General features: G+C 37.8%; 1 protein-coding gene across 13 annotated transcripts in view; it reads right to left on the reverse strand.

Moving 5' to 3' along the window:
* The window catches only part of AHI1 (Abelson helper integration site 1), a 214,209-nt gene that overhangs the window by 17,113 nt on the left and 183,109 nt on the right, over positions 1–13,987 (reverse strand). The window contains exons 28-29 of one of the 13 annotated variants that reach the window (XR_001743480.3): positions 2,068–2,173; positions 764–895 (exon numbers count right to left, since the gene is read on the reverse strand). The exons of the other annotated variants lie outside the window; for them this stretch is intronic. The gene's annotated coding sequence lies outside the window, so the exon portion shown is untranslated. The remainder of the gene's footprint in view (positions 1–763; positions 896–2,067; positions 2,174–13,987) is intronic. 13 annotated transcript variants of the gene reach the window in all.

Below are 13,987 nucleotides of genomic sequence, written 5' to 3' on the forward strand. Positions count from 1 at the left end.
TTCCTGAATGGGGAGAGAATATGCCTGTTCTGAACAGGAATATCTATGCCTGTCCTGAACATATATTGTCTATCAGGACAATATATTTGCTCCCATGAAAAACCAAGGAAGTAGTTCTCCAGAGAGTTCAAACACTCATTTATAAGTAAAGTCAGCTTTCAGGTATGTGACCAAAAAAAAAAAAAAAAAATCAGTTGTGAATCAGTTTAAATTAATCTCCCAATACAATGTGGTATATTACTTAAGCTCTAAATATATCTTTTAGCCTGCATCTTTCCTTCATATTCTTTATAGTATACTCTATATTTTCATAGTAATACACATTGATCTGTATGCAAGAGTTTGAATTTGAAAGCTCTTTAAATCTACAAAATGTGTTCAGTATATCTTGTTTTATTAATGGCACCTTCGTGAGAAAAACAATAAGCACTTTCAAGGGTACCAAATTTTACCCTGAGCATCGGATACTTCCTTTAGAATCTGAAACATTAACTTCATATTAAAGTATACTGTGGGAAATTGAGTTTGATATGATATATAATCTATAAATCAACCTAATGTTGCTATAAAACGAATTGCAATTTTTTTTAGAGATAATCACGTTATGGAAAGGATTCGTTTAACACTCACAAAGAAAATATAAATTGTTACTATGTTTAAGTTCAATAATATACAAATGAAACAGATATACCATATGTTCCTAATTATTTCAGTAATCCAGAAAACATAAAAACAAAATGAAATGAAAGAAAAGGAATACAACCTTCTCTTTCAGTCTTGTTTGAGTAACTGCTTTCCTGGTGTTATCTCTACTGAAGCTTGTTTGGCCTTTTTAGATTTCCTTCTTCACAATCAGATTTCTGCAAGATCATTCTTCAGCAAGATTTGGCACTATCTTTAAACAAGCATTACTTTTCTTACAGATTTCAAGAGGATATTATGCTTTTCTGGACCATAATTATATGATTATTACTGCTAGCTGTAGAGCTTTAAGTCAAGCATAATAAAAACAAGAATTAAAGAGCAAGGAGACTTTTTGGTGAAAGGTGAGTGTTGCAACAGGTGACCCATTTGGTAGAACAACAAAAGAACCCATGACATCTTAATTTTTCTCCACCAGTGGAATTGCTCTGACTCAGTTAAAACGTGTTTGGGAAAAAAGTACATACACACGGGAAATTTCAGATTCAACTACTAATTCAGACTGCCCTCATCCAATAGAACAATAAGCAAAGAAAATCATCAAAACCTCAGAAAGCACCATCATAACAGAAATTATCCTGTTTCTTTCCAGACTTGTGAAATAAATTCTAAACACAGCAGTCAAATTAAATGTGAAATGTTTTATTCTTTTCTTTTTTTTAAGAGATTGGGTCATGCTTTGTTGCTCAGGCTGGAGTACAGTGGCATGATCGTAGCTCACTGCAGCCTTGAACTCCTGGGCTCAAGCAATCCTCCCGCCTCAGCCTTCTGAGTTGCTGGGATTACAGGTGTGCGCCTCCATGTCCAGCTATTCTTTACAAGGTCTCAGTATCATTTTTCTCTCTTTGCCCATGGCAAGACCAGCAACTTACCATCAATATAGGTATATATGAAACTTGATAAAACTTTTCAAAAAACTCAACATTAAGGGCTCTAATCAGAAATTCTCATCAATTTGAACCTATTCCAGAGGTTGAGGGGAGAGAAGTCATACTGAACTATATACCAGTGTTAAGCCAATGTTACTTTTAATTATTTTTTGTTATCCTGAAAAATGAATAATATGTTGCCATGTGCAGGTCTTGCCAATTCTGCTAAGCCTGTTCATGTGAAATGGATGCTGTGATATCCTCAGAAAGTTTGTCTTAGGTATGTTAAACATGGTCCCTGCCATCTTTTCTACTGTGTATTCCTATCACTGGCATACCCAAATCCTTTTTAATGATGCAGAGGCAGCTTAGCCTGTGTTCAAATTATATGAATCCTAAGTTAGAAGGGGGTCCACATTACAAAGTTTACCACTTACTTGAAAAGGACACTTACTTAACTAGGACCAATATTTGACTTCCAAACACCTTTACTCACTCATTCCTTGGTCTCAGCAGCAGCACGTCATATAGGTAGTTACTCATGGAGGCAGAAGCAGGGGGAAGAAGGAGGTGTCTCTGTGAGCTGTTTTGTTTTATTTTACCTTTAAACGAAAAAGCCCCCAAGGCTGGTGTTCAATCAGCCCGCAAATAACCCCCACCATCGACAACGCCAAAGAACATGACTGCCCTTCTTTCCACACACACTTGTTAGAAAGTTGTTTTATGACTTTGTTTCCTCTTCATGGATATCATTGATTTAGAGAGGAGGGGATGAAGAGAGGAAAAACGAGCAAAGAAAAAGTGACGAGTGAAAGGACCAGAATCTAGAGACTTGCGCTTTCCAAACCCTCACAACTTGTTAGTGATGCTTTTAAATTTAAATGCAATGATAGTTAACATAAAATAAATGATTAATGGAATGATTAAATGCTTCCACTGATTATGTGGAAATTTATAAGGAAGAAAACAACTCATAGATAGCTTTGTAAAAGAGAAAGGGGCTATGCAAACAATTCCCCCAAATATTTTTATAAACTTGAAGAATGAATATAAAATTAGGTTAATGTTCAATTAATGTATGTTACATCTAGCACACGAGACTTAAATAAGGCAAATTTATGATACGGTATAGTTCTATTTTTACATGCGGCTTATATACCTCATGATAGATATACCTTTTCCATATAATTTCATAGTTTGTTTATATCTACTTTGTAGGAGTTTTTAAAAAAAGGATGTGAGAGAGGAAAAACAACTAAAGTTGGTGGTTCAATTCTTGTCTTGGTTCTGTCATTAACTCTGTGTGGCCTGGGTAAACCACTTAGCCTCTCTTGGGGTCTTTTTTTTTTTTCACTTGAAAGTAGGTGAGGGTTCAAAATAAAAACATAAGCATCATAGCACCATTCTCTTATTTTACAGACCAGGAATTGGAGGCCCAGAGTTACCAAGGTTATAGAGGTAGTCTGAAGGTTATACTAGTGTTTTTCAAACTGATTTAATGGCAAAACTATTTTCAATACAATTTTATTCAAAAGGCTCATGTATAAATATGTGAAAGAAGAAATACTCTGGGTGAAACTAGGTTTGCATGGCCTGGCACCCCCTGCTTCCCAACCCTATGCCCCCAGATCCCTGAGGAATAGGGCTCTGTAAATGACAGTTTACAAACTACTGGAGTATACAAGCTCTAAACAAGACTAGAAAGGTTTCTTTTATTGCTACAACTCTGTTTCCGGGAGCACAATTTTAGGATTTTAAATATTCACATAAGTTTGAAGTTTTCTTTGACTTTAGAATGTATGTATGTATATATTTGTTTATTCACTTACTTTCTAATTTGAGACAGGATCTCGCTCTGTCACTCAGGCTGGAGTGCAGTGGCGTGATCATAGCTCACTATGGCCTTGACCTCCTGGGCTCAGGCTAACCTGTGGGCTCAGGCCAACCTGTGGCCTCAGTCTCTTGAGTAGCTGGGACTACAGGTGTATGCCATCATGTCTAATTTTTTTGATTTTTTAGTAGAGATGAGGTTTCACTATATTGTCCAGGTTAGCCTTAAACTCCTGGCCTCAAGCAATCCTCCTGCCCCAGCTTCCCAAAGTGCTAGAATTATGGGCATGAGCCACTGGGCCCGGCCTGATTTCAGAATTACTGATAATGTATCTGGTTTACTTGATGTTAAATCCTCCAATTATAATGCTCTTCCTTAAGGGAAAAAATTCTTCTGTATTAAGATGCAGTTTCTAGAAGCATACTGTAACAAAAAGTGAAGACCGCCGGGTGTGGTGGCTCACACCTGTAATCCCAGCACTTTGGGAGGCCAAGGCAGGCAGATCACAAGGTCAGGAGTCCAAGACCAGCCTGGCCAACATAGTGAAACCCCGGTCTCTACTAAAAATGCAAAAATTAGCCGGGTGTGGTGGCGGGCACCTGTAATCCCAGTTACTCGGGAGGCTGAGGTAGGAGAATTGCTTGAACCCAGGAGGCGGAGGTTGCAGTGAGTCAAGATTGTGCCACGGCACTCCAACCTGTGAGACAGAGCGAGATTCCATCTCCAAAAAGTGAAGACCATCCTGATCACGATTTGTAGTTTTGGATACTAATTGTGCCAATTAAAAACAATAATAAATACTTATCTGTGGGGCAGCATAATTAGGAGGGTGTTTTGGAAGATAAGGCAAAATAGGTGAGAACATCTATTTAATCTTTGAGGGGTAAGACCTAGATAAAAACTTACGAGATTTGGACTTTATAGACAAATATGGAGCCAACTAAGATTTATGCACTGGTAAGTCACATGATTTGTTTTCTATTTTAGGAAAGTATCTTCAGGAGGCAGGTAAAAGGTGCAATGAAGACTGAAGAATGGGAGAATGGATACTGTTATCAGCAGAGACCAGAAGGCTATATACCAGGCAGTGGCTGTTACACAGAAATATCCTTCCCAAGTTCGTTCCCTTCAATTCACTCTAAAAAAAAATGGCATTCCTTAAGTCCCCGTCTTCTACCCTTTGTCATTTTCATTCTTGACACTCCTCTATTCCCGTGGATTCAGATATCAAGTTTTCTTCAGAATGTAACAACTTAGCAATGGTTAGTTTTCAGCAAAGCAAGTTTAAATATAGCAATTTTTCTGGAAATATACTTGGATTCATAAATTGTAATCAAAACTATCTTGCAAATATGAGTTTTCAGCAAATCTCTCTTGAGCCTCATAGATGTCTGCAAGGTATCTGCAATTGGTTGTTGCAGGTGCTATGAACTTTACATGTCTCAAATTGAAGTCCTTCCTACATTCTTAAACACTGAGATGTTTCAATTAGAAAGTCAGATTTCTTTTCCTTCACATGGATTTAGTCACCAATTCCTAGCTCCTTATTATTTTTGGCTTGAATTATTGCAACAGCCCCTTCTGGTCTTATTTCTTTCAGTAGGCTTTTCCCAGTCTTTCAGAGCTTCTAGAAGGAGCTTTTGAAACAACCAATATGATCATGTCATCCCCTTGCTTTAAATACTTTGATGGCTCCTTACTACCTTCAGGATAAAATTCACCTCCTTAACATGCCAGCCAAGGACCTCCTCAATCCTGTCCACTTGTTCAGGTCTAGCTTTTTCTGCTTTCAACCTTGCATCCTAAGCTGCAGCCATGATGAAACATTTCTGGCCACAGCAGGCTTTTGCACATGCTGTTTCTAATGCCTCAAACAAATCCTCCCACCCACCCGGCTCCTCTTAAAACCTAATTCATCCACTTCTCACCACATGGTCTCATAGTTTCCCTTCACTATCCTTTTATTGCTTTTATGTTTCATTTTGTGACTCTCTGATTAAAGTTACTTTCACCTGTTAGACTGTAAGTTCCATAAGTGCAAGGACTATTTTTGTTTTATTGACCATTATACCATCCAGACTGTCTTCTACTACAGTGCACAGAAAACCAGCAGGCACTCAAAGTATGTGTTAAATGAATAAATAAAAATGCCAATGCTGGTAGGTGAGTGGGGATGGGGATCACTGATTGAATAAGGACCAGAAGAATGTGAGAAAGGAAAATGACCAAAAGCACAACTGGAGAGGTCTGCCATAGAAAGGAAAAGCAGTTCCTTCTCTGATACCTGAAAACAGCTGCAGGAGGGTAAAATTACAGAAATATAGAGAAAGTAGGGATGAAAATGTGAGGGGATTCATATTATATGGCCTCTCTTCAAGAAAGCAGAAGACCAAGTCAACTTGGAGTAAGAAATCAGCAGCTTGAGTGAGAAACGTGGACATTCTTTTCTGACCTGCTGCTGTAGAGAATGGGGTAGAGTCAGTAGGGAAAAACAAAAAAGATGACCAAGACCACGGGCCTCGCTGAGGAAAGTAATCACAAATCTCATGAAGAGACAGTGTCAATACAATACTATAATTTTTACAAAAGCTATGGTTAAATACCAGAGTAGAAGTGAGAAAAATGGGCAACTTGTTGTGCCCCCACCAATCCTGGGCACTAGTGAAAGAAATGGACAACTAAATGTCCCCCCACCAGGCCTGGGGATTGGTGAGACAAGTGAAACACTCCAAGTGCTAATGATGCATCTGGCATCATATTGCTAAATAATCCTGCTTTTATTTCCTAGTGGTCTGAGAGGCCCGGTTTGAGAAGAATGAAAACTGATTGCAGACAACCACGGAAGCAAGAAGCACCAGAATGCACTCCCTTTCTTAGAATTCCTGCAAACTGAAGGGTCATTGGGTTACCCACTTCCTCTTTTGGGACTAAACTATTTCCTAATCTCTTATCACTAGGGAATAGTTCTTCCCAAACCAGGTCACCCAAATACAGTGGTGTGTAAGAGGTGGCTGCTTAAAAACGCCTATAGCAATGGGGAAGCGGTAAGAGAGGTAAAAAGAGAACAGACTCATTAAGTACAAAAAAATTCAAATAAAAGAGTAATAAAAGCAAATTTGTTCCAACATGTTGAAACATCTTTTATTGTATGCATGGCTTGTCTGAATAAAAGACACACTTAAATAAGAAAAAGTTCTTCCCTTTTTATGTACCTAAAGGGGAACCATATTAAAATGAGAGACCAATATGACCCATTACTGTGACTGCTAAGTAATTATAAAAATAATAGCATACAGTTGATTTTCCATAGTTTATGAAAAGATTAGCGTATGTTTAACTTCTGAAACAAAGGAAATTAACATTAGTCAATAGATATCTAAATTTAATTATTAGACATTTTATATATACTCATCACTTTGAGTCTCACAAAGCTGGATATATCTTTATGTAAAATTCTTGTTTTTAAGTAGGGTAGTCTACAGCTTGTTTTTAAGTAGGGTAGTCTACAGCTCATATACAACTACTCATATACTGGCAGTTAATGGAATAATGTAAGCAAAATTTCATTACAGGATCTTAAAATGAAAAGCTTTTTATTTTACTTATGAGTGTTTTTTCCTTTAATTACAATATTTATAATATGTAATTCCTTTAATACTTATAAGTGTTTTTTCCTTTAATTACAATATTTATATTGTAATTTATATATATTATACATAAAAATTAAAATATAGCAGTGGTTCTCAACTGGAGAGTGAGGGGTGATTTTGACCCCTGGGGAAATCTGGCCGTGTCTGAAAGACATTTTTGATTGTCACAAGTGGGAAGAGGTGCATCTAGTGGACAGAGGCCAACAATGGCACTAACCATGTTATAATGCACAGCATATTCCCAACAACAAAGAATTATCCAGCCCCAAATGCCAACAGTGCCGAGGTTGAGAAACCCTGGAATAGAATGGTTGACAAAACAAGAGGACAGCAGAGTTAGGGTGACGGAGAACTTCCAAAAAAAGGTCATGCTGCTTGTCGAGTCAGAAGACACAACGACTGATACTAGTCAATTTGGCCACTGTCTAAAGGACAATTTATGACTAGGAATGATGGGTGGGAAGTTCTCTCAATAACATCTTTCACATTTTAGATCTGTAGCAGACTTTTAGAGGGATGTTACTGATATTTAGGTTAATCCTCCGCTTTTTTTTTGTGACACAGAGTCTTGATCTGTTGCCCAGACTTGAGTGCAGTAGCACGATCACTGTTCACTGCAGCCTCATCCTCTCAGGCTGAAGCGATCCTCCCACCTCAGCCTCCCAAGCAGCTGGGACTACAGATGCACACTACCATGCCTGGATAATTTTTGTACGTTTTATAGAGATGGGGTTTCACCATGTTGCCCAGGCTGGTCTCAAACTCCTGAGCTCAAGCGATCCATCCACCCTGGCCTCCCAAAATGCTGGGATTAAAAGCATGAGCCACTGTGCCCTGCTGAACCTTTGAAAAAACATCATGAAGAGCAAATATGTTACCTGATAAAAACAAGCCTTAGAATTTGAGAATTTATAGTATTCTCTAAACTAAGTTTTAATGGAAGATCTGTGTAAGAAAATGAGATGTGGCAGAGACTAAGCTCAGAGACTCAAATCAGCTAAATAAGGAGTGGGTTGCTAAACAGAAAAGCAATTCATCCCTAGGTTATTCTGTGAAACTTTTAATTAACGAGAATTTAGGAAGATATCGAGGAAATGACACATTCCCTAAACCTTGTTCTGAAGTTAAACTACAGGGGGATTCTCTCATGTTCCTTTCATTTCAGAACCACTGGCAATTATCTAGGTCCTGCCTTCAGGCTGGATAAACTGAGAAGATAAGCAGCCTGCAGGGTCTCACCTTGTAGAGAGTTAAGAGGGTCCTGGAAATATGGAGAGCACTTGCCCAAAGTGGCAAGAAACAGGGCTGTTGTGGGAGAAGAGACACAGTAGGGGCTGAGGTACATATATCAAATACAATGGCAGAGGCACAGGTGGAAAAGAAGCAGTCAAACAAGTTGCCAGACCTTCAAGAGAATAAAGGCCTTATAAGTTCCTTTCGGAGTAGGAGAGAGTCCCTATTAATTTCTTGAGGCTTTGAGATTCCTCTGCGTAGGTCATTTCAGGACTCTATTGTTGGGAGTGGAATCTATGGGTATGAGGTAAAGGTAACTCACACAGGCTTTGCTGTTACATCACTGGGATACCACCCACCTTCTTTATGGGACACTTATCTCTCTAGACTCCAGAATAACACATATTATTCAAATGTAAATAACATTTATATGAAATTAATACTTTTTTCTCAAAATAGGTGTTATAAGTTATTGAAACAAATTAGGGGAAAGAAAAAACATATTAGTGCTATCTGCATTGAAATTCTTCCTGGGACACAAATAAGCACTTTAGTTTTTTTTTTTTTTTTGAGACGGAGTTTCACTCTTGTTGCCCAGCCTGGAGTGCAATGGCGTGATCTCAGCTCACTGCAACCTATGCCTCCTGAGATCAAGCGATTCTCCTGCCTCAGCCTCCGAGTAGCTGGGATTACAGGCATGCGCCACCACACCCAGCTAATTTTGTATTTTTAGTAGAAACGGGGGTTTCTCCATGTTGGTCAGGCTGGTCTCGAACTCCCGACCTCAGGTGATCCACCTGCCTTGGCCTCCCAAAGTGCTGGGATTACAGACGTGAGCCACCGCGCCCGCCCGCAGGTTAGTTTTAACTTACTTATAAGGTAAGGCTTCAGGTCAGTTTCATCACTATCCTTGATATATACAAAGTTAGTTTTGATTCAGTTCTCTTCAGATAAAGTAAGAAAACTTCAAATATTACAAAAAGTTTAAAGCAAATCCAAGCATAAATTAATTTTATTAAATATAATAGAAATAAATCACTGTATTTTCTTTGAACAGAATTACTAAAGTAAAAAAATACAAATTGATATTATTCTTTAGCAATAGAAAAGAAGCAACAATTATGACCATATTTCCAATGATTTAGTATATATTAACTAACTACTGGCTATTTGGAAAACCTGTTTCACCATAACAAAAATCTGCACTGTCTATTATAAATTTGTTGTTGGACTTAATATAATAATAAATCATATTATTCCTATGATTAACAATAATTCAGATTCATTCCTGGTACAGGGATCAGTAAATGGAAAAAAATTTTCTCTATAAAGTGATATTTGAAAAGTGTTATACAGCACAATTATTAGATACTTTGAAGACTAAGAAAAACACATGCACATTGAGGGCAATATATTTATTGCCTACCATTTTTCTGAGAGGCTGACAGATTTACCAATGTAAAATTTTGCGTGTATGTGTGTTTGGCTGGAAGAGGAACTACCATGAAGTTATCTAATGCTTTTGGGTTCTCTGTTCTTGTTTTGAACTAGGCAAGAAAGCAGCTGTTCCTGAAAATAACCAGAGTGTACACTTTGGTTTAGAATAGTCTGTCCTTTGGAATTAAGCCAGCATGCTCTTATTGACTCTACATGCTTAATAAAATAATGAAAATTATTAAGACATTCCTCTGCTCATGTGAAGATTAGCTATAATAGATATTTTTATAATTATCTTGAATAGCAAAACCAATAACTGTTATTCATTTAGTGAATTTTTAGAGAAGAATATAAGCAAAAATAACAGTAGTTTCTCCACATCTTCAAAAATAATCTAACATTTCTGTGCATACTTATTACTGTACATCTAGCATTTATATAAAAACATACTTGACTGTATTAATGTTGAAACACTAATAGAAGGTAAATAGTACTTTACTACTTTGGGTTTTGTTTTTTAGAAATAAAGAAAAAAGAAAACAGCATTTTCAGGAATTAAAAAAACAGATTTTAGGAATTAAAAAAAGAAAACTGGGTATTTTGGTACCTAAAAATGGTTAAAAAATAGGATTGTCTCTGCTAATAAGAAAAGAGGCCAGGAGTGGTGGCTCACACTTGTCATCGCAGCACTTTGGGAGGCTGAGGCGCGCAGATCACTTGAGGCTAGGAGTTTGAGATCAGCCTGGCCAGCATGGTGAAACCCCATCTCTACTAAAAGTACAAACATTAGCAGGGCATGGTGGCCCACATCTGTAGTCCAAGCCACTCGGGAGACTGAGGCAGGAGAATCACTTGAACTGGGAAGGCAGAGGTTGCAGTGAGTTGGGATCCCATCACTGCACTCCAACCTGGGTGACAGGGCGAGACCCCGCCTCAAAAAAAAAAAAAAAAAAAAAGATGTCAAAGATATATTGAAAAAAGAAAAAGCAGAATCTTAAGTATGATCCTAGTTTCATAAACATAAAAAATAGACAAAGACGTGTATTTATATATGCAAGAACATTTTTGTAAGCATATGTAAGAAACAGAATGAGCATAAATATTAGCAGGACAGAAGACTAATTTTTCGTTTTATACTATTCTTCACTGGTTAAAATTTTAAAACTATGAACATGTTATTTTTTATAGTAGAACAACTCTAGTAATTAAAACAAATTTTAGTAATAACTTTCCTCCCCAAATAAATGGATCATAAAGGTTAATGCTTAGGCTAGCAAAAATAAAAAGGCTAAAAAGCAAAAAAAGTCCAAAACACAAAAAATAGAACAAAGTTTGTCAGCACTACTCGTTTTCAAAGCTTCTGAGTTTCTCTCCTTCCTGATAATACTTATATTCTCTTTTCTGTTAGATGCAATTTGTAGCACACCTTGGTAAAAATGTTCTGGAATGAACTTGGAGGAAAACATTTTCCTGCTCCCACTCCCCTGTGGTATAAGTTGTTACTGATTTGTTTCGGGATGATTAACTCATCTCGTCCCCTCCTCCTCCAGTGAAGAGCCAGCAACAAATGCTGCCATCACCCACTAACATTTCAATGAACCAGATGAAATGCTGGAAGGTACCTGGCACAATTAGCAACAGAGCAGGTGTGTTCCACTTGGAAGAACATGTAAGATGCAGCAGCTGCCAAGCTATTAAGAGGTATAATTTTGCTTCTTATTCTATAGCTTGAAAATAAATAATTTTAAAAAGGAAAGAAAATGATTGAGGTTTGTTTCCTTTTTTCATTAAAAATATAGAGTACAATTCTTAAAACTTACACATGAAGAAGGGTACAATGAAACAAATACCAAACAGGGATGTGGGCTGGGCACGGTGGCTCATGCCTATAATCCCAGCAGTTTGGGAGGCTGAGGCAGGCGGATCATTTGAGGTCAGGAGTTCGAGGCCAGCCTGGCCAAACTAGTGAAACCCTGTCTCTACTTAAAAATACAAAAATTAGCCAGGCATGGTGGTGCACGCCTGTAATCTCAGCTACTTGGGAGGCTGAGGCATGAGAATTGCTTGAACTTGGGAGGTGGAGGTTGCAGTGAGCTGAGATCTCACCACTGTACTTCAGCTTGGCAATAGAGTGAGACTGTTTCAAAACAACAACAACAACAAAAAAAACCAACCAACCAACCAAGCAACCAAACAAAGAAAACAAAAACAAACAAACCAAAAAACAACCAGGGATGTAAAAAACCAGTGTGATACAGAACCTGGCTAACTGTGCAGGTACCAACTGTATGTGTGTGTTGCTAACTAGGTGGTGGAGGAAAATGGGCACTGGCCTGAGAATATGGAGGCCATGCTCCTAATTAGCAGCATCATTTTAAACGAACTTCTTATAGCTTCCCGGATCTCAATTTCCTGTAGAATGAAGGAGTTGATCAGAATCACCAAGGATGTTCTCTAAGGTCCTTTCCATGTCACTAGTTCTGTAATTCTATGAACTTAGATGCCCCACAATTTTAGTCACTTTATCACAGACGACTTTTCATGTTCTTTCTTAAAAAAAAGTGATAATAAAAATAAGACTTGAACATGAAATTAAATATCTGATAGACTCTGTGGGAGGTTTATAAGGTAAGGTCTTGATAAAATCAAACCATATATATTTTAATAAAGGAGCTAAATTTAAGAAATGCAACTAGCCAGGTGCTAAGAAGCTCAGTTACACGTTTCTCAAAAGTTGGCTGTTAGTTCCATGACTCAGAGTGCACTCAAATCATTTTAATTACTCGAGGCAACATTATATTTCTTAGGGGCTTCTTTTCCATAAACATAGATCATTTGTTATACCTTCTCTCACTGGGAAGTAAAATACTGTCTTACACACATAGCACATTCCTAAGAGAAAAAAATATATGCAGGATTCTACTCTAACACGTGGATTCAGATAGAGAAGATCAAATCATGTTCTTCAACAAAAGAAATCCACGCATCTTAAGATTTAAAGCCTAATTTGAGTTCCATATCCTCCATGAGAACATTCCTACTCCCTTGCCCAAATGGAGTTTTATCCTCTGCCACTCCTTTACATGACTCTAAATTCCTTAAATCTATTAGAATTAAGGTTTGGGCATCAGTGGGATTAGCCTGAAGTAGACCTCAAGGGTGACTGACGATGGTATCTGAAGAACTGGTCTGCTGCAATATGAATATGAAGGTATGTTTGAAGCATGGAGATCACTCTATGAGGGGCAAAAGTCATAGGAAATTTGAAAAATCAACTACAGTCTAAACTAAGACTATGATGCAGTGAGTCCACCTAAGTAGAGTGGCACAGGCAGTGAGAACTGGGAAGTTTTGGAAACAAGTAGGAGGTCCCTATCCATAAGAACACAGGCACATCAGGAAGAGGAAGGGGCAATACCAACTTCACAGGTAAGACACTGACAGAGTTCTTTATGTTTCCTCTGGCAGAGTCAATGTTAACTCAAGGGTAATAGAAACATACTAAGGGAGGGGGGGTCAGGTCACCTCAGTTTCAAAGGTTACCGTGTTGCAGAGTCAGGGACATGAGAAAAATCACAAAGAGTAAAGACTGTATGTTTCATAGCATCACACAGTTTTTAATACAGACTAAAAGTATTGTTAGCTGTCACAGCAACCCTTTACACCAATGTTATAAATGCTTCCACTGCATTAAAGGTTTTTATGTTGTAAATTTAGACCTCAGGTTTGTGTTATGTTTGTGTTAACCTTATGTTTATGTTATGGACCTCATGTCTGTGTAACCCCCAAATTCATGTGTTAAAATCCTAACTCTCAACAAGATGGTTGTTAGGAGGTATTTGGGAGGTAATTAGGTCTTGAGGGCAGAGCCCTCATAAATGGTATTGGTGCTTTTATAATGAGAGACACAAAAAAGCTTGCTTCCTCTCTCTGCTCTCTGCCCAGTGAGGATAAGTGAGGTTGCAAACCAGGAAGGAGACTTTCACCAGACCCTGGATCTGCCAGCACATTGATCATGAACTTTCCAGCTTCCAGAAGTGTGAGAAAAAAATTTTGTTATTTAAGCCACCCAGTCTACATTTGTTACAGCAGACACAACTAAGACAAGCATTTTCCTAAATTCTTAAATCTGCTGCTGAATTACAAACAATGGGTAATATTACACTTGTAACATTTGCCCATAATCAAATTCCTGCCAATCCTCTTGACTGTATCCCTTACAGTCCTTACATTGTTGTAGGCAACCATCACCATATATCCTTGCT

This window comes from Homo sapiens, chromosome 6 (genome assembly GCF_000001405.40).
Source record: "Homo sapiens chromosome 6, GRCh38.p14 Primary Assembly".
In the NCBI taxonomy this organism is placed as follows: Eukaryota; Metazoa; Chordata; class Mammalia; order Primates; family Hominidae; genus Homo; species Homo sapiens.